Below are 26155 nucleotides of genomic sequence, written 5' to 3'. Positions count from 1 at the left end.
GTCACAGATGGTGATTTGGGTGACTGGCAAATGGTTTAGGGGGGTTCAGAGGAAATGGGGGGTATACTTAGAGATAGGATGTTCAACTGGGGCAAAAGTTTGACTTACTATTATCTGCTGAACCGTGAGAAGAGCTGTTATCCTGTGATCATTTCTCGACATCAATCCGATGGCAAGTAGTCTGTTGCTGGTGCCAGGGTCAGAATGTGGGAGTGTCTTAGTCCTGCGGTTCACAGACCCCAAAGGAGAAGCAGGTTACAGGGATTTCTGGTAGTTGTTTCTGATGCCAGCTCCAGGTTAGACAGTCCTCATTCAACCTGACCCTTTAACACTTCTCCAATTTCTGTTTTTCAATATTTTTACGTTTTTAATTTATGTCCCATAAAATGCACAATTTTGAGCGCACATCACTGTGAATGTTTATCTACGCATACACCCATGTAACTACCCAAACCAAGATTCGCAACATTTCCACAGCCCCAGAAAGCTATCTGTGCCCCTTCCAAGTCCAAAGTAAGCATGCTTACCCAAAGGTAACTGCTATCTGACTTCCGTCATCTAGGATTAACATTGCTGATTCTTGAACTCCATTATAAATAGAATTACACAATATGTACTTTTTTATCTGTGTCTTGTTTCTTTCAACATCATGACTGTGAGGTTCACATTTCAAAAATTTGCTGTTTTTATAACTGTGTAATATTCCATCGTATAAATATGCCATAATTTGTTTACCATTCTCCTGTTGATGGGCATCTGGGTTGTTTGGAATAAAGCTGCAATAAACTTTCTTGTCCAAGTCCTTTTTGCAGCTGCTGTCTTTTGGCAATTCCAGGAAGGCCTGTGTTTTGTGTATGTGGATGCGTATTATTAAAGGAAAACCTTCTTGACAAGGCCTTGAACTCGCTGCTGGCCTCTGCCTGGGGTACCTTTGAGGATGAGCAGCTCCAAGGAGCAATGGACAGAAGCTCTAAATCACTAGTGACCAAGGGTAATGTCACATCCCCTCAATTATTTGTTTTTATTAGAGATCAGGAGAATTTGGGGGAAACCTAAAAGTGATTTTGAGCAGTTATTCTCATGCACTTATAAAGACTTTTACCTCTTGCAAAGGACCAGGGCTGGGGAAAGAGACAGAACCAGGATGTAGGTTGGGCCTCATGTACTTGGAGAATGGTATTGAACTCCCTACAGCATGTGGCCCCCAGTTAAGGGAATGGTTTTTCTATATCACAAATGGAAAATATTCTCATTTCTCTGTAATCATAGTCATAGTGTAAAGCATCCTTCGCTAGGGTTTGAATGAAAGAGGTAATCTCCTGATTTCTGCTAAAGAACTTCTCAAATCCTTCATTGCTGATGACTATGACATCCTCATAGGTGCCATTTTCCTCCTAACTTTTTTCCCAAATATTTCTGATCCACCCCAGCAATGCTACTAGTAAATATTCAGAGATTCCTAATCCTAGACTCCTCAGGCATCCTAGGTTTTAGAAGAGAAAGAGAGTTCTCTTTAGTTAAGAACTTGCTGTGGGCCAGGTACTATGTGAGGTAGTTTGCATCCATTTCATTATTTAATCTTTACAGCACAGTGAGATAGGTTTTATTATTCCCCTTTGATGGATGAGGAAACAGAAGTGCAGAGAGGTTCATTAATTTGCCCCAAATCACACAGCAGAGCCAGATTTGACCTGAGATATATTTGGCTTTCTTGCCTATAGCACATTGCTCCTTAAACTAAGTGTGTCTGGCCAGGTGCAGTGGCTCACACCTGTAATCTTAAAACTTTGGGAGGCCGAGGTAGGAGGATTGCTTGAGGCCAGAAGTTCAAGACTTGCCTAGGCAACATAGTGAGACTCTCATTTCTACAAAAACTAAAACTAAAAATAAAATAAGTGTCTCTGACCAGACCTCCTAGCCTGGCTCACACTGTCTCCATGGTACAAAACATTCATATGGTCGAAAAAAAGTATTGTCTCTCAAATGACTGTGAGATTCCACTATCCTTTTATAACTTCACGATATAGAAAATAGTCAAGCTCTTGAGGTTAAAGTAATGTAACTCAGAATCACATGTGGTCCACTGTGAAAAAGCTTAAGGTGACCCAGGGTGCAGCTGTGACTTCCAGAAACGTGGAGACCAAAGGGGAGCTACATAAGGTGTGGAAGGTGCCGAGAAGCACAGTCCCAGCTTGGGGCTGGGGCACTTCCCACCCACCCCGCGGGCTGTGATTAGCCCCCACACCCTGTCCTGGGCCCTGCACTGGCCGCTGCACACCACGCCCCTGCTCTTTGTTCCCCGGTAGCAGAGCCAGTATAATTTCATGCTTCCTAATTTCTGAGGATAGTGAATCAATTCCCCCCACCAGTTTGCCTAGAAGAAGAGCTTATTTAGACAAACGCCTCCAAGGAAACAGTTGTAGAGAGTCACTTAAGAAAACAAGAGGCTGCTAAAGGAATGCTCTGCGTGCAGTGTGGAACAATTCGCAGTCAGCATGGGCGCTCCTCGGCGGGGAGACGCTCCCGGGCAGAGTGAGCACACCTGCCGCACATCCTTCCCAAAAGGAACTCCGCTCATTCCGGACGCTGGACTGCAAATAAAAACAGCCAACGCTAGAGTCCTGGAGTCGGGGAGGGGCTGGGACAAAGGTGAATGAACTTTCCTCCTCTGGCTTCAGATCAGCCTTTAGATTTCTCAGAATGCCTGAGGTCATCTAAGTGGTCTCTAAGTTACTGTCACACCACCCCCATTTTAAGGGGGTTCAGGGCAGCGTGGCTGGTGGGACCCTCTCCTGGGACACTCCTCCAGGCGCCCCCCCCCATCCCCTGGAGGTATTGGACTGAAAACAAACTGCTCGCTTTAGGGGACAAAGGGCACTGGGGGGTTGAGGCTGCAGAGAGGGAACCCCGGGAGGAGAAATGGCCTCGGGAGAGTGGATTCCAGCTTCCATAGAAGGCTGGGAAGGAGCCACCAAGAAGCTTCACCTCCAGTCCAGCCAAACGGTGAGCCGCGGAGCACACTGCTGGCTCCTGGCAGCCCTGAGCAGTTTCTATTACAAAAAGAAAAGGAGGGGAAAGGCTATGAATGCTGGCCTGGTTCCCAGAACAGAGGCTGCAGGGAAAATGGAAACAACTGTTCGCCGGCCCAGTGGGCTTGGCAAGGGCAGGTCAGGGCAGAACCAGAGGGCAGGTCAGTGCAGAACCAGAGGAAAAGGTGGGAGCCCCCAGGCTCTAGTCCCTGGGACCAGAATCACCCATGCCCCACCCCTTCAAGTCTCAGCTCAGATGTGGTGGGAGTGTAAAGAGTGCTGGATTGAGAGTTTAAGTTTTGGCTGAGCTCCTAACCAGCTTCCTCACATGCCCAGGAATCATGGACTCATAGCTCCCAGAGCCCAGGAAGACTCCCTCACCCACTAGGATGACTCACACAGTCCTGCCAGTCCTGGCTGACAGTGGTCCCTCCCATCCTGAGCAGCCGCCAGGTCATCGCATGCTCATGGCTCCCTCCAGTTGCCCTGCTGGACAGAGCGTGATGGAAGAGTGGAGAGCCCCAGCCGCAGGGTTCCTCTGCTCTCATCCCACTTTAGGTCTGCTCCAACCCCGTGAGGTCGGGCCCCTGCCTCCTGTGCCTTTCATGTCCCCAGCAGTTCCAGGGACGGGATAGGGACTCAGGAAGTATTTATGGCCTGGTTAATAACGAGCCCTGTCACAGCCTATGATTTGGGGTCCAATAAATCTGGGTTCCGATTTGGAGCCCTGCTGCCTGCTGGCTGGGAGGCTGAAATAAAGGCCTTGACCTCTCTAAGGCTCGGCTTCCTCCGCACTAAAGTGGTGGGTGCTTCACAGAGCTGATGGGAGGATAAAGGAAGTAAGCATATGGCCAGCAGAGGAGTCAGTAATAGCGTTCACCTCTCCATGCACCTGGAATCCTTGCCCACTCCCTCTAGACACAGGCTCAGAAGCCAGTGGAGCCTTTCAGGGTGGGGACCTCACTGGTTTTAGGGTCACGTCTGTTGCTGTGGAGGCAAATGGCACATCTGCTGGGCTCCACACTAGCCTGAGGAGAGGCCTTATGCTGCAGCTGTTTCCCAGCCGGCCGTGGTGAGGCGTCAGCAGGGCCCTGTTTAAACACAGCGCTGCGGGAGCCCCCACCCTGCACCTCAGATCCTTAAGACACCTGCTCCCTGATGCTCTCCCCAGGTCTCACCTGGTGGCAGGAGTGGAAGAAGTGATGGGATGAGTCACCACAAAGACCCTTCATGGAACTCATTAACTTTACAGAATAATGATTCTGGGACAGAGTGGATGTTTTTTTTTTTCTTTTTTGCCCCCAATTACTAAAAGAGTGGAGGATTTTAAATATACATAGTGTGCTCTGGTGATTGGCAAATTTAACCCCTGCTTGACTTAATTCTCAACAAGTCTCACAGTGATGCATTCTGGTGAGATTTCCAAGTTTCAGTCACTGCAGGAATGATGGAGGTGCATGGGTGCATGTCACTAGGGCACTTTATGGTTTACAGGGCACACTCACATACATTATTTCCTGTGATCCTCACCACAAATCTAGGAGGCAGGCAGGAAAGGAGTTCTTAGCCCTATTTTACAGACAATGGCATTGAGTCCCAGAGAGGTTGGGCAATTGCCCAAAGTCACACAGCTTATTTTTCGAAGCACAGTAACTCATGACCCCAGAGTTCACTTCATGTCTTCTCACAACAAGAGGGAGGAACAAGCACCATTGTCTGGCCTCATATATTGAGTTTTGATTCCTGGGTTCAGTTTCCTGTCACTATGCGCAGGGAAGAGACATGGATATCTGGAGATCAACTCCCCCTACTCCATGCTGTAGACTCCACTTTGGGAAAAGAGTACACAAGCGATGCAGGGGGGTGGGGGGTGAAAGAAATCCACATGTTTCATCCCCAAATACACTTCTTTGACATAATTTGAGATGGTTGTTCAGAGGGCCTGCAAACAGAAGGAGCCCTGCAAAGCTGTCTTTCTGGGGGAGATTTGCATCTGCAGAGAATCTGCATTGATGCAGCCAGGTTTTCTCAGGTTTTCTCAGAGGTCGTCCTTTGTCCAATCTAGGAAAAATTAACTGAAAATGGGACACCTTTAAAGGTCTGAAAGTAACATTTCCCATCAGTTCTCTCGGGGCTGCTCCCTGTGAGGTTTCGTCTACGTAACAAGATCATCTTGGCTCACCAGGCCTCCTCATCTTCTCCTCCCATAACCTATTTTGCCCCGATCCAAGCCCCCATTCTTTCTGTAACCTCAGGATGGTATATATACTTATACTTCCTGCACTGGCCGCTGCACACCACGCCCCTGCTCTTTGTTCCCCAGTAGCAGAGCCAGCATAATTTCATGCTTCCTAATTTCTGAGGATAGTGAATCAATTCCCCCCACCAGTTTGCCTAGAAGAAGAGCTTATTTAGACAGGAGGGTGGAGGAGGGTGGAGGGTGGAGGGTGGAGGTAATCACTCTGTGGTTCTCCCCCATGTGCACATTAACAAATTTGTCTGCCTTTTCTTTTATTAATCTGCATTTTGTGAGATGATTTTTCCATGAACATACAGAGGGCAAAGAAGTTTTTCCCTTGGCCCCTACTGTGGCTTCTCTGGACTGTGAGACCACCTTTAGTCTTGCCCAGGCAAGTTCTGAGGCAGGAGAATAGGGTCTGGAGGCAGGGAACCTAAGGCTGATTCACACTGACTAATTAGAACTAAATCAAAAGGGAAACCCCAACTTTCCACACCTAAGTAACAAAAGGACCAGAGGCTACTCCCTTTGTAAACACCCCCACCTGTCCGATTTGGTTGATTTCTGCAACCAATCAGACTGATTGCAGGCCACTACTTCATTTGCATGAAGTGTACACCAAGTGGCCTATGGGAAACCTCTAGGGGGTATTTGGACCCCTGAAGATCCTGTAACCAGCACCCTTGAACCGCTGCTCAGGCCTGCTCCCACCCTGTGGAGTGTACTTTCATTTTCAATAAATCTCTGCTTTAGTTGCTTCATTCTTTCCTTTCTTTGCTGTGCATTTTGTCCAATTCTTCGTTCAGAACACCAAGAACCTGGACAACTTGCAGTCAAGACCCTCCACCAGTAACAGTTCTAGCTGTCTCGACACACACAGAGGCTCGCCGTAGGCCCTGCTCCATTGATGCCCTGGGCAGTGGAGCCACAGAAGGCACCTCTGACCCAGTGCTCTGTCTCAGGCTGGTGCAGGCCAGGGCCTGAGCCTGGGCAAGGCAACACTGCACCCCTGTGAATCATGCACCCAGCAGGGGCTGTAACAGGGCTGCAAAGCCACCACCAGGCAGCTGCTGGCAGGACTAGGTTAGATGGTGGCATGCAGGGCAGGCAGGGCCTTCTGCACGTAAGAGGGACAGTGGCACTTCAGTCCCACCAGAAAACCCCTTTCGTCACCCATATGTTCAGCAGCCACGCACTACCTCCCGCTGTGGTGTATGCAGTACAGAGGCTGCTGAGTGATTGTGGAGGCAGCCAGGACAGAAGCTGGGAGGCATATTGTACAGTGACAAAGAACAAAGACGTTGGAGTCCCACGGCTTCAGGTTCGAATCCAGACTCCACTTCTTAGCAGATGGATGATCATGGGAAGTCATTGAGTCTCCCTGTGTGCCAGTGTCCTCATCTGTATACTGGGATAGGACAGCACCTCCCACAGGGGTTCTGAAGTGATGTAAATGCAATGCTTGGCCTGTAGTGATTGCCCCATCCATGGTTGATACCATAAGGGGTTAGTGAAATGCACTGTTTTTTGCAGCTGTGGTGCCATGCAAATAAAAGTTATTCTCAGGACTGCATATCGCTTTCACCCTGTCATAGGTTTCACATTTTATTTTGCTTATTTCCTGTCTCCCATTCGGAATAGAATCTCCATGAGGGCAAGGATTTAAGACTATTTTGTTCACTGGTATGTCCTCAAGTGTCTACAAGACTCTTTGTGCCTAATGGAAGCTTGATTTGTTGAGTGAAGGAAAAACAGGAAAAAAAAAAAAAAGAGAGAAAGAAAGAGGAACTGAGAAAGAAAGAAATAAAATCTCCTTGATATACAGATGACAAGGACTATAGCGGGGAGCCATCACAGGCCAGAGACATGCCCTGCCCGCTGTTTTCATGAAGGCCATGAGAAACAACAGCGACCCTTGGAAGCTGGACTGGCTTAGGAGACATACAGGGTGGGACGCCAGGGAGGGAGAGGAGCCTCAAACCAGACTTAGGAGAGCAGAGCAGCAAGGAGAATAGCCATGACCCAGGGGCTCGCTCAGTCACACCTGACTTAAGGTTTCACCAGTTCCTAAGAGCGGCCAGTTGGGAAGTAGCACCCAAACCCCACTGCTTAGCACGTGTTATGTATTGCAGGGATCCCTCACCCCCAGGGCCTGTTAGGAACTGGGACACACAGCAGGAGGTGAGCAGTGGGTGAGTGCGCGTTGCTGCCTGAGCTCCACCTCCTGTCAGATCATGGCAGCATTAGATTCTCATAGGAGCACAAACCCTACTGCGAACGGTGCATGCGAGGGATCTAGGTTGTGCACTCCTTATGAGAATCTAATGCCTGATGATCTGAGGTGGAACAGTTTCATCCCAAAACCACCCCATCCTCCTTGTTCATGGAAAAATTGTCTTCCATGAAACTGGTCCCTGGTGCCAGAAAGGTTGGGGACCGCAGATTTATTGGACAACAAGTGATGCAAACGTTCATGGCATACTAAGCTGTAGCTAGTTCTCATTCCAAGTATGAGTTCAGGCATTTCAGGACATGCTTTCAGCTGCCTGTTGAGGCTCTTAAAGGCTAACCAGGAAAGGTTTCCAAACAAGGTAAGCTCCCAAGGAAGAGTGCCAGCAAGATCCTGCGTGAGCGGGCCACATGGGCAGCCCCTTAGGAAAGGTGCCTTGGCAGACCTGGCTGCAGGCTGCGTGGGCTGCTTGTTACACACAGCTTTTGCCTTGGACAATAGCCTGATAAGGCTGCACACTAGGGAGAGGGTAGCTTTGTGGCCAGCTGAGGGAGTCCCTTTCTACCTGAACTTGGTCTAGAACGTGCTAGTTGTCAGCCATGTTTACCGTACCATCAATAGCCTGTCCTGAGGTCCTCCTGGAACTCAGTGTTGGGCTTGTGAGGTGCAGCGAACTACTTTTCTGATTGAAAATATGCTCTCTAGGCCGGGTGCAGTGGCTCATGCCTGTAATCCTAGCACTTTGGGAGGCCGAGGTGGGTGGATCACCTGAGGTCAGGAGTCCAAGACCAGCCTGGCCAACATGGCAAAACCCCGTCTCTACTAAAAATACAAAAATTACCCAGGCGTGGTGGCGCATGCCTGTAATCCCAGCTACTTGGGAGGCTGAGGCAGAAGAATTGCTGGAACCTGGGAGGCGGAGGCTGCAGTGAGCCGAGATTGTGCCACTGCACTCCAGCCTGGGCAACAGAGCGAGACCCTGGCTTCAAAGGGGGAAGAAAAATGTTCCCTAAAGCCCACCTGGCCGGATAAGACCTGGGGAAACATCAAAGGAAAGGATGAAGATGGAGTGAGGAGGTGTTTCTAGAAACTGGAGGATCTGCCACACTCGCCATTGGTGAGGACAGGAAGGGAAGGGGCAGGGGCAGACTCAGGCTCTGAGTGGGAGGATATTGGGGGAAGGACAAAACAGAGGGCTCTGCAGAGCCTGACAGGCCAGGCTTCCCAGGGAGAGGACCAGGGCCACTGAGAACCATCCAAGGAGCATCTCCAGGCCCCGGAGAGAGACTGGAGGAAACAGACTGGAGGAAATGGATCTCACTGCCTGTTTTGCAATTTCCTGGACACTGACTAGGTTAGCACATCCCTATGTTGACTGGCCCTATGTGTTGCCTCTTCTGTCAAATGCCTATTCATATTTTTTTCCCATTTTTCTTCTGAACTATCTGTCTATTTCCCACTCCCTCCACCCCACCAGGCATTCAGGACTCGATATATTCTTGAAGCTAATCCTTTGTCACTTAAGTGCTACACATATCTTTTCCCAGCTTGTGGCTTATCTTCTGAGTTTCTTTAAAATACCTGTGATGAACCAAGGTTCTTAAATTTAACGTGGTTGAAATCATGAATCTTTCTTTTTTATGATTTGTGATTTTTTGGTGTGTTATTTTTAAGAAATTCTTCCTCACTCCAAGATCAAAGAGATATTCACTTCCATTTTCTGCTGGTCAGATATCCCACCCACAGGGATGCTGCTGTTGTTTGGGGACCTGTGCCCAAGGCAAGGATGGGCAGACCCCAAACCTGACATGCTGTCCCCAGATGCCAGGAGGACCACATGTCAGGGCCTGCACAACCTTAGGGTGCCTTTCCTGTAAACCAGCCCCCAGACGTCACTGGGTACAAGCTAGTGCTCCTAATCTACCCCCTACCCGTACTTCGGCCAACACAAAAGGTGCCAGTGAGCCTGAAGCCATAAGATCCATGTGGCAGATTTGAGGGCCCCAGATGCTGTATTCAACTGGGGGTACTCAAAATACTGTGATCAGCACAGATCTGTCTGCTCACCACATGCCAGGATCTGCCAGGGACCATCTCACAGCTAATGATAAATCCTCCTGTCAGGGCCACAAAGCAGGGCTTTGTGTCACTGTGTTAGCCCGCATCGTCCCAGGGCAGGGCTCCAGGCTGAGCTGGTCAGCCCAGGCCACTGCAGACAATGGAGCCACAGTGGGGCAGGGCTTGCAATGGAAGTCAGTATGGAGGATGGTGACAAGAAGCAAACACCCTGACAGCAGCCAGGCCCATGCACGCCTCCCCGAGGAGGGAGGACAGGGCGGGGCAGGCTCTGCAGAGTCAACGGGCAACTTGAATCTTGCAGCATCTGGCTAGCACCCAGGCAGGCTCCACAGATGCCCGCCTGGGCCTGATTTTCCTGTTCTCAGTCTCCCACGTCTGCCAGGAGGCCTTGATAAATATTCAATAGCTCTGGCCTCAGAGCCTGTGTCTGGAGGACATTCTTAGGCAGTGAACTGGAGACAAGCTGAGAGGAGGCCTTTAAAGGAGCCCCAAACCTCAGCCTCTCCTTTCTGCTCGGGGTTTGGTTTTAAAGAGTCCCAGGGGAGCCACCCACCTGCAGGCCTGACCCCCTGAGGTCGATACGCGGGTTCCCTGAGCCCAGCTCTCAGGGAAGAAAAAGGCAGAATTCAGGCTGCTAGAGCAGCCGGGATAAGAGAAGTGATGCTGGCAAATGTGGTATTTAATGGATATTTTAAAACACCAATAGCAAATACAGTCATTTCTGGGACTTTTTTTTAGAAGATGCTGAATTAAAAATTTGCATCTTCCCTCATTCTTGATCTCCTTCTGCAGTTCCACTTGAGCAACCCCACAGGCTCCAGTCTCACTTCTGCTCACACCCTCCACCTGCTGCCCACGCAGCTTCCTGTCCTGCCCCCACCGCGCCCCCTGCGCCGTCCCAGCTCACCTGTTGGCCATCAGACATCACTCACGACCCCTCCCTTTCACCAGACTGTGGCTCCCACCATTTTGATTATGAAGTTTCTCATTTAGCTCAAAATATCTGACAGACTCCCTGCCCCATTCATTATATTGGACACATAGAGTCGAATATATATTAAACTTCAATTAGATCAATTCTATATTAGACTTCTATAAAACATCCAGTGGGTGAGAAACTATATAATGATCAAAGTGACTGCAAATTCAGTAACCACATTGTGCAATCATATTTTACTTATCACAGAAACATCCAGGCACCTTTGAGAACCAACAGGACGTTCATGTGCAGAAGATGTGATTTCTTCAATCTAAAGACAGTGGAGAGAGGGGTGTGTGCGTGTGTGCACGGGTGCACGTATGCAAATTTGCTGGCCCCTCACAAAAGCTCTAGTTTCTGGAAGGAGAGCCCGAGTGTCCTCAGGCCCAGCGGTTCCAAGCATTACTGGGTGCCTCCACTGAGATAGCAAAGGACTCACAGGTCTCCAGGCACCTGGTAATAATGTGGAATTGGCCGGGGCTGCCTGTTGCTGAGGAAGTTCTTGTCAAGTCTGGCCTTGGTGGGAGCACCAGTGGTAGTCAGAGGTTCTTCACCTTTTTTGGGTCATAGACCCCTTGGAGTGAAAATGTTGGAGGTTTCTCCTGAAAAGCACACTGCAATTCAGGGGATCCCCTGGGTCCTGGAGTCCATGCATAGGCATCATGGACCCCACATGGAAACCTCCCTGATTGAGAGGTCTCGAAAGCTTTTCCAGTCCTAAGAGTACAGTTTCTAATTTGCTGGAGTCGGCTGGACTTTCATTCCCTGGCAGAGCCATTTTGGAGGATAAGAAGATGTGTCTTCTCTACCACCGCACATGCGGTCCACAGTGACTGAGGGGAGTGTCACGGTGCCACCTTGTGCTTCTGTCCTGAAACTGCACCTTCTCTGGGGCCCATGCTCAGGTCCACACTGCCCACCTCTCACTCCATGAGCCTCACTCCCTACCACTCTCCCACCTTCTTACTCTGACCAAGCCACATGGACTCCTGACGTCCCTGCCTTGGGGGCCTTTGCACTGACTGTTCCCCCTGCCTGAAGTCTGGGTTTAAAGCCGTATACACAAGTGCAGTTTGTACAGTCATATCATGAACCAAGAAAAAAAGCAAATGTTTATGAAGATGCCTTTATTTTCACTTGGCCTAAAGCGAGAAAGTATCACATGAGTATATAAAAGAATTTTTTAAATTTTGAGGCAGCTTTGAGGAGAGATTGAGGAAGATGAGAGGGTGTAGTAGTAAGCTCTCATTAAGTTTTGCTGCAATAACAAATAGCCTCAAAAATCTCAGTGGCTAGGCCGGGCGTGGTGTCTCATGCCTGTAATCCCAGCACTTTGGGAGGCTGGGATGGATGGATCACCTGAGGTCAGAAGTTCAAGACCAGCCTGGCCAACATAGTGAAACCCTATCTCTACTAAAAATACTAAATAAATTAGCCGGGTGTGGTGGCAGGCAGCTGTAATCCCAACTACTTGGGAGGCTGAGGCAAGGAGAATCACTTGAACCTGGGAGGTGGAGGTTGCTGAGATCATGCCACTGCACTCCAGCCTGGGCAACAGTATGAGACTGTTAAAAAAAAAAAAAAAAAAAAAAACTCAGTGGCTAACAGCAACAAAAGTATCCCTCAAATTGCTTCTTTATTTTTATTTATTATTTTTTTGAGATGGAGTCTTGCTCTGTCACCCAGGCTGGAGTACAGTGGTGCAATCTCAGCTCACTGCAACCTCCGTCTCCTGGGTTCAAGTGATTCTCCTGCCTCAGCCTCCCGAGTAGTTGGGATTACAGGTGGCCGCCACCACGCCCAGCTAATTTTTGTATTTTTAGTAGAGACAGGGTTTCATTATGTTGGCCAGGCTGGTCTCAAACTCCTGACCTACAGGTGTGTGCCACCGCACCCGGCCTCAAGTTGCTTCTTCCTGGTGGGGCAACTGTGGCTCTGCTTCCTTGCAGGATGGAGGAGCGAATGAATCGCTGGGAAGTCTTCTCACTTTTGTCCCCTTAAAGGAGAAAACGATGCGGAATGACGAAGCTGGGGCCCCCTGCTTCCCTCACATCCATAGCTTTTCTGAGGCTCCTGGCTTTCTTGCCTTCACAGAGCAGGACTGAAGCTGTCCCTGCTCCATAGGCGTGAGCTGCAGCCATGGGGTGGGACAGAGCCTCCTGCTTGGGCCCTGAGCCTCCCAACCAATACCCACATGGACCCAAAAGTTCCCAAGAACTCTGGGGGTATTGCAAAACCCCAAAGCCCTTCTACTCCGACTGCCACAAGAGGGAGGAAGAAGGCTTCTGGGTGCCATTAGAAGACTTCAGGCAAAGAGAAGGAGGAAAAGAATCCTAAGAGAAGCGGAGGCCAAGAGAAAAGAGAGGAACAAGGAGGAGGCGGCACATGTGTGGAGTGTGGCAACCATTAACCCGGAGCCAACCCTGAAGTCTTCCCAGCCTCTCACCTGAGCCTCTTCTCACCGCAAAACAGACATTGGAACGACCCACCTGGAAAACTGATGGGGGATTAGTTTCCTTCCCTTGAACGATCTCTCTTCTCAGCCACAGGAAAACAAGTTTCAAAGTTGATTGGGAAAGGGGGGGTGGGGTTCAGATATGGAAAGAATGAGGAGGGAACAGATGGTGCCTGCTAAGGCGACCAGATTTTTTCCCCCAGTTAATCTGGGAATGACCTAATTTACATAGTATTTGCATAAATTTCCATTTCAAATTAAAGCTGTCCTAACTTCAAGCATACAGGAGAAAATAAATGAGATCAAGCAATCTACTGTAATTGAACTCAAGCCGGTCCTGACTTCTGCAAAATGCAGGTCAGGCTTTTAAGACCTGGCACAGGAGAGGAAAGGAAGTTGGCCCCACTGTCCCTTCACAGGAGGGGGCTGGAAGAAGTCTGTCTCCACCTCTGAAATTAGAGAAAGTCATCACAAGGTCCTAGGCCAGAGTGTGGGGAGATGAGGAAATGCCGCCTCTTCTCTGCTCTATTCCTCCCTCCATTGCGGGGCCTCCTAAGGAAGAACCAAAACTAGGAATGGAGCAGAAAAGCCAGAGATGCTCTCCTGAAGTCAGACTGGACTAGCCGGCATCTCACAAATGAAGCAAAGGGAAGGCCGGCGTCAGGTCCAGCCTCTTCAGGCACAGTAGACTGGGCTCTTGTGCAGGAGGGTGGCAGGGTTCACATACCCAGGTGCATGGGACCCGGGAGGCATACACCCGCATGGTGTGTGGGGGTTGTTTTTGCCTGCCTGACTCCTTAGCGCTCCATCCTTTATTCTCATCCTCCACCAGTTCCCAGATCCCATCACACAGCCTCACAGACACACAAACATATGTGAGTGCCAAGGAACGAACACACACACACACACACACACACCCTGGGCATTACCACCAGCCCGGCCTGTGAGGTCTCAACCCAGCTTTGGGAACTCTGGGAACCTAGGATGTGCTGGTCATCTTGTTCACTCAATACCCCTTTGTCTATCTCTTGGATTAACTCAGATCCAGTGAAACTGCAAAGGCAGTGAATTCCTAGGGCATGTCAGATGGGGAAAGAACCAAAGCTGGAGGCTGGGACGGTGTCATGCTCTGTATGGAGTCACCAAGGAAGTACTGGCTGCTGCAGAAAGAAATCCCCACCACAGTGAAGGAAGGCCAGCCAGTGGCACTAGATGCCACCGACTGCAATGGAGGCTGAGTGGTCAAGGTGGACTTGAACCTGCCTTTCACGTGGTCCTCTGATGGAGGTCCTGAGTGCTGGCCTCTGTGTCTTCAGATGCTATGTCTTTTCCCCTCACTCACTGATTCCTCTGCACTGAGCATCCCTCTCTGCTTCCCTACCCACCTCAAGGAGGTGGGAGAAGTCTTGCTCTATTTTGATGTTCGCTGAAACAATTTCTGCTGAGAATTCTCAGGCCTCCCTGAAGTTAAGACAGAAAAACTCCCTGCCCAACCCCTTACTCCCCTGAAACAGGAGGACAGAACAGCCTAGCTGCTTCACTGAGGAGGCAGAGAGTTTGAGGAAAGGAGAGGTAAAATAAAAAAAAGACGGGCCAGGCACAGTGGCTCACACCTGTAATCTCAGCATTTTGGGAGGCCAAGGTGGGAGGATCACTTGAGCCCAGGAGTTTGAGACCAGCCTGGGCAACATATTGAGACCTTGTCTCTACAGAAAAATTTAAAATGAGGCAGGAAGATCACTTGAGCCTGGGAGATCGAGACTGCAATGAGTTGTGATTGCACCACTGTACTCCTGCCTGGGTGACAGAGCAAGACCTTGCCAGAAAGAAGGGAAGGAGGGAGGGAGGGAAGGAGGGAGGGAGGGAAGGAAGGAAGGAAACAAGGGAGAGAGAGAGGGAGGGAGGGGAAAAAAGGAAAAAGGGGGTTCATTAATATTTCAAAAAGTTACTTTGCCACATTCTTTTTTGGGAAATAATGATGCAGGGATCATATAAGCCAAAAGAAAGAAGAAAAGGCCACAGAAAAGAGTCGCCTTTTGAAAAGGCAAGACAAGGAGGGAAGAAAAGATCAAATGGAGACATCAGAGTCTAATTCTGGTGAATTTTTCAAGGGCTGCACCCACTGAGCCCCTGCCCCGCCCCCAGATGCCCTCAGCCAGGCCACACAGTACCTGAGAGCCGGTCTGGGTCTCTGGGCAGCTGCTGGACAGCTGCTCGCCCATTCATGCGGTTAAGATGAGTTCACTGCACAGTGGCATCACACAGATGCTCCTGCTGGCCAAAGAAGGCTCTGGAAGGCCAGGCATTCTCATTCAGCCAGCCCTTTGAAGGCTCCTCACCAGCAAAACCATTTATTTGGGGGTCACTCCAACCTCAGCATAAGAAATACCACACTTTAACCCAGAGGTTGGCAAACTCTGTAAAGGCTGGACAGTAAACATTTTAGGTTTTGCAGACCATTTAGCCTCTAAAACAGAGACTCAACTCTCCTCTAATGCAAAAACAGCCATAGAAAATATGCAAACGAATGTCTGTGATCCAATGAATAGACACACTGAAATCTGAATTTATATAATTTTCATGTATTGTGAAATTATTCTTTTGATTTTTTTTTCATTTAAAATCATTCTTAGTTCACGGACCATGCAAAAATGGCTACAGACCTGACTTGGCAAGTAAGGTGGATTTTGCTTTAAACAAGCCCCAAAGTAGAAGGCTTGGTCTTCTTAAATACAAATTAAGAATAGATTGATTTGATTTACAGAAGAATTTACCTTGGTGATCTAAATAGAGGGTTCCCTGAATGCATTCAAAATAAGATTTGATTGTAACTTTTTCCTGCAGTGTTAGCTGTCTTCCCTTTTTTACTTTCAGTGTTTTTCTTTTCTTTTTTTTTTGAGATGGAGATGCACTTTTGTCACTCAGGCTGGAGGATAGTGGCACGATCTCAGCTCACTGCAAACTCCACCTCTCGGGTTCAAGCGATTCTCCTGCTTCAGCCTCCCGAGTAGTTGGGGTTACAGGTGTGCAATGCCCACCTAATTTTTGTATTTTTAGTAGAGACGAGATTTTGCCATGTTGGCCAGGCTGGTCTTGAACTCCTGGCCTCAAGTGATCCACCTATCTCGGTCTCCCAAAGTGCTGGGATTACAAGTGTGAGCCACCACGCCTGGCCCTTCAGTGTTTTTCAAAATGACATTTGCCATCCACTAGTGGGCTGCAAAATTCATGAACATCATTTTGGATAGAATAGAACAAATAGAATAGAATAAAAAGATATCACAGTTCCTCACACACAATAAAGGTTGGTAATGTCTCATAACATTTTGCCAGGTGTGTATTTTCCTGTGTATATGTTCATATAGCTATGTTATATTGTGTTGTAATGTAAAACATATTTATTGTAATAGATCATGGTCAAAAGTTTGTGAAGCCCTGGTCTGATTAATATCAGGAAAGAGAGAGTTTGCACTTCCAGCCCTCCTGAATTGCCCCGAGTCTCCCCTTTCTCTCTCTACCCCTATACCCCTATGGGATTCTCTGCTGATCAACCCTGAGACTGACAGAGGCAGGAGACAGAGCACTCTCCTAGGCAGATAGGGGAGGGCCCCCAGAGAACTTCCCACCGGCCAAGGTCATTGTGCACAGGTGGCTTGCCTAAACATGCTCGCAGTGAAAACTTCTGTCCCTTAACACACGCGCAATAAGGGAAATAAATCAATGTGGAGTGGCTCAGACTAAGGGCCCGCATGTGCACTAGAAGGATGGGGGTGCCAGGAATTCACGCCACATACAAATAGGGAAACCAGCCCCATCAGTGGATTATAGAAGCCCCTTGTATTCAACTATGAAGGGGGCCAGCCAGTAACCTGCTTTCAGGACCCCTCTTTTTGCTGAGAGCTTCCCTTTTTGCTTCATAAATTCTATTCCACTCACTCTTTGATGTCCATGTGCCTAATTTTTCCTGGTCGTGAGACAAGAACCCAGATCTCGCTGAGCTAAGGCGTAAAAATTCCTGCCTCAAGACCACTGTTCAGATGCCCTCATAGTGACCGCCACAGACAGGACACCAGTAAAAGATGAAGAAGGGACAAGCCACACCTCACCTTCATTGTCTGCACCCCCATTGCCTGTGTCTTGTTCACTCAGCACCTTGCAGATGAGAGTGTAAGCCTGCAGTATAAGAGGTACTCAACAAGCGTGTGTTGAAGGAATGAATGGCTGAATCCTAGACAGCAGGGTTGTAGGTAAAAAGGCCCTGAGATGTGAGGGAGCAGAGCACAATTGTGGAACTGAAACTCATTCCCTGTTCTCCCAACTACACTGCCCAGCCTAAGCTTACACATAACATTCATTAAGGGTCTGGTCAGGTTTCCAGGCAAAGTATTCTCCTCCCCACTGCTTTGCCAGGTAGCAAAGTGCTTATTTCCCCAGGCACATGAGCTGCGTGCACATGCTTGGAAGAGCTCACCTTGGCGTGAACAGAGGGACATCTCTATCACAGACTGAGAAATGCCAGTTATTCTCGAAGGCCACTGGCTTCTGAAAGATAGGAAAGTGCACTCCAGCAAGCCAGCAGAATGATTCATTTCCATGGGACTTGGAAAGCAGTAAAGCAGGCAGTGCCGGACTGAGAGCTGAGGTGCCATGTGGGGGAGGGCTGGGCTGGGAGCAGCTATTACCAGGGAAAAATGAGAAGGACTGTCTTGGGAGCAGTGGCAAAGGCAGATCTAGCCCCTTTTCCCGCAGAAGTCCTCCTCCATGAATGTTCTCCCCTTCAAGACTCCTGCTCTGTCTCGGCTTTGTGCCTCTGGGGCTGATGGTGGCATTACGGGTGCTACTTACAGTCACCGACAGTTTACTGTCCTAGAGGTGGTGGTTCCAGAAGGGCCTCTGATCCACGTCACATGGGCAGCTCCCAGGGAGGAACCAGACACCTCATCCCGGTGTCCTGCCAGGCAGGCCCATTCTGGGCTTCCCCCTGTCATGAACCAGGTTTGAGAATTCTATAATCTCACACAGCACCGGTAAAGCAATATGCTTTGGGGGTAGGGCACTCACGGAGCTAAAGGAGAGCAAGAAGGGTGAAGCAAGTGTGCATCCCCCATTCCATAATCATTCCTGGGTGGGGGTGAGCTGGGCCGACAGCACGGGCCTGTATTCTGCTGCAGGACCACACAGGCTACTTGGCTCCAGGCAGAGGAGTTAATACAGACATTGTCTAGATGTTGCAATGCTTCCTGCATGGAAGAGGGATGGGGAGGGTGAAGAGGAATCCTCCAGCCCCACAGAAAAGGGAACGTGGGCGCCCTCTTGCTGGGAAGCAGCCAGGCCCCAGCTGGCTCATGGTCCAAGCAATGCAAGGAGCTCCCAGGGTCCCTCTTGGATGCCCCTACCTTTGCTCTGCTGACCCAAGGAGAGCCACATGCTCCCCAGCATTGAGGCCAGCCGCAGCACAGCTCTTTCAACAGTGGGCCCTCCATGTGCAAGGTCCCCCCAGTTGTTCACGATTTTGAAGAGTCTGTTGTGTGCTGATTGCCACAGTCACTCCTGTGTAACTCCAACAATGAAATGGGGCTCCCTGCCTATCTACAGGCCACCACTACACCAGCAGGGACCTGTGACCTTGGGGTGAAGCCCGAAAAAGGGATGAGAGACATGGAACTTTCTCTCCCTGCTCCCAGAAAGAACGTTTTTGGTGCAGTGTTTTGTTCTGTTTTATTATTTTGTTTTATTTAGGTGAAACAAACATCTGGTACACAGATCTTCATCCATTTTAAATGCCTCTCTAACCCCTTACGGGTGTTGTAACCCCTCCTGTCTCCCATTCTGCATGTTAATTTGAGTATGAACTTAATGGACGCTAAATAAGTCAATCAAGATGCCATTTTTAGTGCAGTTGAGCAGATGTGTTTCTGGGGAAATGTGTTTGCATGGGCAACGTCACCCAAAAGGCACCTCAGTGAGCACCCTTCCACCCAGGGGAACCCAAAGGGAAGCCACAGCATAGCCAGCCTGGCACAATGCCATGGGGGAGAGCATGGGGCGGCCGCCCTTTCTGGGGGATTTTCTTGTGAAAATGCCACCCCGTCTTCCTTGGGACCTGCCCCTGCTTCGAGTTTCCCCTCCCTTCCTATGGAGCACCTGCCAGACACTGTGCAAAGGCCTCTACCCCCGACTTCAGGTGGTACACAGGCAGCCCAGTGCTGGGAAAACAGTCTGTGCTCAACTATTTTAACAGGTTAGAACCAGAGGTCAGACTTTCAAATTCCACCTAGCCAAGTCCCAGCACTTTCAGGAATTCTGGGTAACGCAAGACAGGCCAAGGAGTGCTTGGCTTAGCCTAGGTGCACTCATCCCCACAGTTGGAGAATTCTTGTCCGAAGTCTGAGATTCCCAGTTTGGGTCTTGGCAAGGACTCGAAGAGACTCCTTCGGGTAGCTGAAAGCTGGAGCTGTCAGTCAGGCTGGTTTTATCCCCTCTGCCCCACCAAGGACCATTCCTGAAGCTGCACTGGTGATGGGGATGTGGGTTGAGGCACAAAGCAGCCTAAATCTACACATGGGGCCTGCAGTGCAGTTGCCTTTCAAGAGAGCACAGGGTCCGCCTGCATTAGCTACAGTGTGCACGGCTAAAAGAACAAGGTTCCAGATCTGGCTCTAGCTCTGCTCCTAATTAGCTGAGTGACCTCACCCTTGCTGGGCTTTCCTTTTTTCATCTGCATAACAAGAGGGTAAAGCAGAAGACCTCAAAGTTCTTCCAGATTTAAAACTCCATGGGGACTTTCCTCCTCTCTAAACTGTGCAACTCAGAATAGTTACAAGGATTAAATTCGATAAGGTATATGCAAAACTGAGAGGCAGAGCCTGGATTTGCCTGGGCCATCAATTCCAGATACTCTCCTAAGGGATTTGCCAGCTCCTTAGATCAATGACTTAACAGAAGCCTGGCTGAGCCCAGATTAGGTCTCCCAAATCCTGGGCTTGGGGGCCTGTACTGTCGAGCCACTTTCTCAGAGCCAGGTTATGTTCAAAGACCAGGGTGAATGGCCAGAAGTGGGGACTCCTCCCCTATGCCCATCCCCTGCTCTGAAAGTCCTGTGCCCAGTGGCATCAAACAGCAACATGTCCTTAATGAAAACCCCAACTAAAGAGTGGTGGCTCATTCATGCCCCTCTGCATTCCAAACACCTTCCACTCAGTGAACGACCAGTCCAGGCTTGCACCTTCCAAGCCTGCTGTTGCCTTGGCCGTCTCTCTGCAACTAGTAACAGTTGGCCTGAAGCACCGAGAGGCAGAAGGAATAGAGCTGGGAGGGAAAACCCATGATGCCCCCCTATGATGTTTCTGCTACCCCCACCTGGAAGGGCTCCAAAGTGTGGGCCACCCAGCAGGTCTCTAGGAAAAAAATCTGATAGCTCCCCAGAGAAATTCCACCTAGCTGGAAAAAACAGTGAGTCTTTCCTGAGTGCTTACTGTGCACGTGATCTCACTTAATGTACACATGCCGCTATGGGGCAGACTTATGGCATCATCAACCCCATTTTACACAGTAGGAAACACAGCTCCAACCTATTCAATAATTTACTCAAGGTCACGCTGTTCGTAATTGCAGAGCCAAAATTTGAGCCCGAGGGCATCAAGTATCAAAGTCTACACTCTTAACCATTAAGCTGTGTCTTCTCCAAAGTGGGAACAGGTCACCTTGGTGTTGTTCACTTAGTCTAGAGACCACTTTTTTGTCTCGAGACACTCATTTGGCACAGAAAATCAAATAAATCACCAGAACCTGATGGATTAAATAAATCAACCCTAAGCAAAGACCCTACAACTTAGGAGAAACAAACTGCTAAGGTTTGCAGAGTTGCATCTCTAGGACTCCAGGAGCCTTTAAATACAAAAAGGAATTAAACTTTAGTGACAACGTTCTAGGCTTTGGCAGAAGTCAGCCCAGGGGAAGATGTAGCTGCCCCAGCTTAATACGCTGTCCCAACCAGGGACAAGGCCAGAACATTCAAACCAGGCAAGGGAGACTTCTAGTACAGCCCCACCCCTATCAGATTTCCTCCTACTGTCAACCCTGGTGGTTAAAGATTTTATTTTATTAAGAAAAGCAGTGTTCCAGTGTCTTTCAGTTCACTAAAAGGCCACACGGTTAATTAATGTCAGAGCTGCCAACCCTCGTACGTGGGGCTGGCCTGAGCCAGGCCTCCCAGGTGGACTCTTCTGGTTATTTGGAAAACACTTTGGCTTGAAGCTGAGGGTTCTGGAGTTGCCGTAGAACACTGGTGCAAACCACAGGATAAACTCAGAAGAACAAGACAGAGCCAGCATGTGGATCCACAGCCCTGCCCTCAGCTACAGGGGGAGGCTATAGGGGAAATGTGTCCTTGTCTGGCTTCAGAGAAGGAGTTGAGAATACTGAACTCTCAACTCTGTGCCCACAGCTCAACTCTCACCATCTCTAAAGGCCATTGGGCCCACAGCGAGGGTGATGTGCTCCGTGCTGAGGATATTGAAATGCATGCTGAGCAGCTCCTCTTTCCTCACAGCCCTTCAAAGAGCCCTCTGGCTCCTGGAAGCTGATCACTTTCCCAGAGACAGCTGACGAGTGGGACATAGGAAGAAGTGAGGTGCTGAAGGTGAAGCCAGTCCTCGATAATTATTATCATTCCGTCCCCTGCCATCATCTTGCTTTTCTCTTATTATTTATAGGATGGGAGAATGTACCAGACACATCGATCATGGTAGCTGTCGTACACACCATTCTCGCCTAAGAAAAACTGCCCAGTCACAGCCCCCAAGGAGGGAAGTGTCCCCAAGCTGTCCCTCATTCAGCATTTGCCTTGTTCTTAGCCATGTGACCCACACCTCCTCTTGGCCAGCTGTGATTGGACAGGGGCAGATGCCTTGCCCAAGACCTCCTATCCAGGGACTAGTGGGATTGTCTGATATGGCCCAGCTCAACCAACTCTGCCCAAATGAGAATTCAAATTGGCAATTAGATCCATTGAATTATCTTTCCTTCTGAGAAAACTAATTTTAGGGTCTAAAGAGAATTTTTTTTATAGAAACATGATCTCGCTGTGTTGGCCAGGCTGTTCACAAGCTCCTGGCCTCAACTGATCCTCCTGCCTTGGCCTCCCAAAGTGCTGGGATTGCAGGCATGAGCCACCATGCCTGGCCAGGAAACTGATTTTAGAGATAAAGAGAAAATGAGCCAACTGGTAGCAGAACAAAAGTCCTGAAGAAACACTTAGAAGAGGTGAGTGAAGAGCGAAGGCAGAGAGTCATATTGATGCCAGAGCCCTAGGACCAGTGGTTCTGAACCCAAATATCTCTGCACACCCACAGCAGCTGGCGGCATACCTTGCACAGGTGGCTAACACATTGTGCTCAAGGTAGAAAATGCACCTTTTGTTGCAACTGAGGATATGTATTGTTACAACAGTGCTTGTTGGACAGAATGTTGAGAGGAATACTCCTTGTAGAATGGGAGAATCCCAAACACGCACATCGGAGGGAAGAGGTAGAGTATAATGATAAGTGTGTGCCAACACAACCAAGTTTCCCAGAATGTGTGAAAACTGTCTTGTGAGGACAGAAGAGAGCACAGTTGGGGCCATAACAGTTATTCTCAAAGACATGGGCTTGCAGAGTAACCAAGTTAACGCTATAATAACCAAGGATGTTATTTAATTCTTCTAAAGGCTTGCCAAAAATTCTGATATTTGAACATGTGCCATTGTATTAGTCAGGACCTTTTGGTTTCAAGTAACAGAAACTCAACTCAAAATTAACTTACAAAGGAATCTGATGGTTCATGTCACTGAAAAATCTAGGGATAGAACAGACTTCAATGATGGCTGCATACAAATACCCAACATCATCAGGAATTATTGTTTCTCTCTCTCTTCTTATTTTTCTTTCCTTCAGTTGGCATTATTCTTTGGTTGGCAGGCTCTTCCCACACTCAACAAGGTAACCAATATTGGCTTCATGCTTCCTACTGACCTCCTTCCAGCTTAGCAGCATCAGCAGATAAGGAATAATTCCCTAGATCTACAGCACAAGTCCCAGGGGTAGTTCTCAATGGTCCACCTTGGAACACGTATCCATCCCTGAACCAATTAACAGAGCCAAGGAGAAGCTGTGATCTGATTGGCCTGGCCTGGGTCATATGCCCAGTTCTGGAGCTAGGGCATGATGTCAGCCCCACCAGAATACAGGACCTAATAGTAGAAAATGGTTATTGCTTAAGGGATGTTAAACAGGCAGTAACAACAGCCTCAGCCCCAAACAAAATAGTTGAGCACAACCTCTCCGGAGCAAAGATCCTTGAACTCCTGACATTAACCTCTTACAGATGCCTTGCATGCTAAATGACTTTCTGATCACAGTCTCCCTGAGTCCTCACTAGGCTTTTATCAATCAGGATTCTTACCTACAAACAACAAAATCCCCTCTGATTTGTTTAAACAGAAAAGAACTTATGGACGCATATTAGTGGCTCACAGACTCTCCAGCAAGGTCGGAGAAATAGGGGTTGGCACTCTGCAGCCACAAACAATACCCAAATCCTCACCTGTCTGGTCACAGGCTTGATCCCACTGCCTTTGGTGCATGTTACTATTATCATCTCTGTCTCTGCTGCCTCTGGGGTTCCATGTCCCTCCACCATGTTCCGCCCCATCACCAAGAACAATTCCATGCAGCAGCTTCTCCCTGGCTTTTCACTCTTCCAGACTGAAATCTCATCATACTGCATCCAATCCACAGAGCCTATGTCACATGCCTGTGTCCTAGCTGCAGAGGAGTCTGAGTAACTGAGTTCTGATCTCCACCCTGGTGAGGTAGCACCCCTCACATGGCGTATTTTCCAAATTTAAGAAGTTTCTTCAAATGATGTTGGGGTGGCACCAATATGACTAATATCTATTATACTACACCACCCCTGAGAAGTGAGGTCTTCTGCTTCTTCTGGGTTCTGGACAGACTGAGCAATGGAGCCAACTCTTTATTTTCACATGTTATATCCCAATAAACCTATGATTCTCTGTTCTTTGCAACCAGAAAGAAACCCAGTTAATGCAACACAATTTGGCCAATGTAATTTGGATAAAATTTAGCTTGGAGACAATGGTTTTCATCCCAGCAGGATTGGTTCACAGAAGCTCATGGCTTCTTTACAAGGAAAGGCTCCAGTGGGGCTTTTGAGGGGGTCTGGAAAGCATGGCCACATGGAGCCCTCTCAGGAGTGCCAGCCCACAGACATTTAATAGCCTTGTTCCAGAACTCTGCAAATGCCACACTGGGCTACCACTTAACCACAAGTCATCCCCAGCTATTAACAAGAAGCTGGATTGCAGGTAGGGACACCCTAGCAAGGGTCTTGCTAGTCTGATCATTTCCCTTCAGAGTCTGGAATCCTCTGGCAGCGCTTCACGGAGGACTGAACTCTCTGACCTTCCTCCTGTGGCATCTGCTGCTCCATCAGGAGCTGAAGCCATTCAGTAAGAAATCATTTTTGAGTATCAACGATGTCTCAGGCATTGTGCTCACACTGGATATGCTCTGTCTCCAGGGGGCCTTCAGACAAGGAAATTAGCCAAGGCTTAAATGGCATGAGAGGAGGCCAGGGAGGGAACAAAAATGTTCAAGTGCTATTATCCAGAAAGAGATGCATTGTTTTCATTTCTAAGCAGATTTATTGATCAGGTTCACTATGGACATCAAGGTCTTTGACCTAATATAGAAGTATAGTTGTTCTATTTTCTGAGCAGGTCGACAACAAAGAAATTTCTGTGACTGGAGAATTCATTTGTGTAAAAGCCATCTGAGGATTTCACCATTAAATACTTTTAGTTATATTGAATAAATGAAGAGAATAAAATTAGAGGAAATAGTGACCACTTCAGAAAATCTAGATGGTGCAGAGCCAGTTGGATATGCATACCTTGTTAGTCTTGGGGTGAACATTAGAAAGTCCAGTCTTTCTTTTTTTCTTTTTTTTTTTTTTTGAGACAGAGTCTCGCTCTGTTGCCCAGGCTGGAGTGCAGTGGCGCGATCTTGGTTCACTGCAACCTCCACCTCCTGGGTTCAAGCGATTCTCCTGGCTCAGCCTCCCGAGTAGCTGGGATTACAGGCACGTGCCACCACGCCCGACTAATTTTTGTATTTTTAGTAGAGACGGGGTTTCACCATGTTGGCCAGGCTGGTCTCAAACTCCTGGACTCAAGTGATCCGCCCGCCTCGGCCTCCCAAATTGCTGAGATTACAGGAGTGAGCTACCGTGTCCAACCAGGAAGTCCAGTCTTTTACCAATGGCCCCCGGCCCCACCCCTGACTCTCCTCAGAATACCGACATGTTTCACACAGTTGGAGGGTGGACAGTTGTGCAAAATATGCGTGCTGACAGCAAGGGAAAAGAGGAAATGTCTGATTTGGACCCCAAATCTCCTCCAGGAACCCAGTCACCCTGTGGCCCACCAACCTTGCCATTTCTGCAGAGGCGGCAGGTGCCCCAGGAGACCACTAGGTGTCGCTGTGAACCTGTGCAAGCGCGGCCTCACCCTGTGGGCGCACACAGCGCGGTATGTTTTCAATCAACACCTTGTCAGTTTTTCTCCCCGAGGCCCCAGGGGTGTGCTAGGAATTTTTATTTCTTGAGAAATACTGTGATTCAGCTGCCCTTTGTTGGCCCTGCTAGAGAGAATGAAGGTTGTGCTTGCTCCTGCCAGCCCCCCAGGCAGGGGAGTCCCCTTGCAAGCGTCTTCAGGCCACCAGCCTCTCTCTATCTCCCCACCTCCCATTATTCCTCTTCATTCTCCTTTTTACCTTTCTCTCTCGGTGCCCGGTAACACCGATGTGCTGCTTAGGGAAAGGTCGCCATCCTAGAGGCCTCCTTCAACCCTTCTGAATTTCACCAGTTCCTAAATAAACTAGCTTGCAAATTCTGTCCTTATCCTCCCCTTCTGACTCTGCTCCCAGCCTTGCCCCTTTCTTTCAAAGCAACCGCAAGATTGAGGCAGTGTTGGGGTGGGAGCAACAAGAGGCTCAACTATCTTTTTAGTTTCCTTTTTTTTTTTTTTTTTGACACAGGGTTTTACTCTGTTGCCCAGGCTGGAGTGCAATGACACGCTGAC

General features: G+C 48.8%; 10 annotated features.

Annotated features, from left to right (window-relative positions):
- Window positions 5631–5680: an enhancer, noted in NCBI's record as "active region_26482". NCBI's record gives its function as "activates an Ori minimal core promoter by ATAC-STARR-seq in GM12878 lymphoblastoid cells {active_cell/tissue: GM12878}" and the evidence as "EXISTENCE:reporter gene assay evidence [ECO:0000049][PMID:35858748]".
- Window positions 5991–6160: an enhancer, noted in NCBI's record as "active region_26481". NCBI's record gives its function as "activates an Ori minimal core promoter by ATAC-STARR-seq in GM12878 lymphoblastoid cells {active_cell/tissue: GM12878}" and the evidence as "EXISTENCE:reporter gene assay evidence [ECO:0000049][PMID:35858748]".
- Window positions 6191–6320: an enhancer, noted in NCBI's record as "active region_26480". NCBI's record gives its function as "activates an Ori minimal core promoter by ATAC-STARR-seq in GM12878 lymphoblastoid cells {active_cell/tissue: GM12878}" and the evidence as "EXISTENCE:reporter gene assay evidence [ECO:0000049][PMID:35858748]".
- Window positions 9305–9424: a silencer, noted in NCBI's record as "silent region_18526". NCBI's record gives its function as "represses an Ori minimal core promoter by ATAC-STARR-seq in GM12878 lymphoblastoid cells {active_cell/tissue: GM12878}" and the evidence as "EXISTENCE:reporter gene assay evidence [ECO:0000049][PMID:35858748]".
- Window positions 9738–10289: an enhancer, noted in NCBI's record as "H3K4me1 hESC enhancer chr7:105698686-105699237 (GRCh37/hg19 assembly coordinates)". NCBI's record gives its function as "activates a minimal SCP1, AML or CMV promoter by ChIP-STARR-seq in naive H9 embryonic stem cells {active_cell/tissue: H9 hESC(naive)}" and the evidence as "EXISTENCE:reporter gene assay evidence [ECO:0000049][PMID:30033119]".
- Window positions 9765–9864: an enhancer, noted in NCBI's record as "active region_26479". NCBI's record gives its function as "activates an Ori minimal core promoter by ATAC-STARR-seq in GM12878 lymphoblastoid cells {active_cell/tissue: GM12878}" and the evidence as "EXISTENCE:reporter gene assay evidence [ECO:0000049][PMID:35858748]".
- Window positions 9895–10054: an enhancer, noted in NCBI's record as "active region_26478". NCBI's record gives its function as "activates an Ori minimal core promoter by ATAC-STARR-seq in GM12878 lymphoblastoid cells {active_cell/tissue: GM12878}" and the evidence as "EXISTENCE:reporter gene assay evidence [ECO:0000049][PMID:35858748]".
- Window positions 11135–11184: an enhancer, noted in NCBI's record as "active region_26477". NCBI's record gives its function as "activates an Ori minimal core promoter by ATAC-STARR-seq in GM12878 lymphoblastoid cells {active_cell/tissue: GM12878}" and the evidence as "EXISTENCE:reporter gene assay evidence [ECO:0000049][PMID:35858748]".
- Window positions 11695–11744: an enhancer, noted in NCBI's record as "active region_26476". NCBI's record gives its function as "activates an Ori minimal core promoter by ATAC-STARR-seq in GM12878 lymphoblastoid cells {active_cell/tissue: GM12878}" and the evidence as "EXISTENCE:reporter gene assay evidence [ECO:0000049][PMID:35858748]".
- Window positions 25399–25899: an enhancer, noted in NCBI's record as "H3K4me1 hESC enhancer chr7:105683076-105683576 (GRCh37/hg19 assembly coordinates)". NCBI's record gives its function as "activates a minimal SCP1, AML or CMV promoter by ChIP-STARR-seq in primed H9 embryonic stem cells {active_cell/tissue: H9 hESC(primed)}" and the evidence as "EXISTENCE:reporter gene assay evidence [ECO:0000049][PMID:30033119]".

The sequence above is a fragment of the Homo sapiens genome, chromosome 7 (genome assembly GCF_000001405.40).
Source record: "Homo sapiens chromosome 7, GRCh38.p14 Primary Assembly".
Classification (NCBI taxonomy): Eukaryota; Metazoa; Chordata; class Mammalia; order Primates; family Hominidae; genus Homo; species Homo sapiens.
This window is presented reverse-complemented; position numbering and strand designations above follow the sequence as displayed.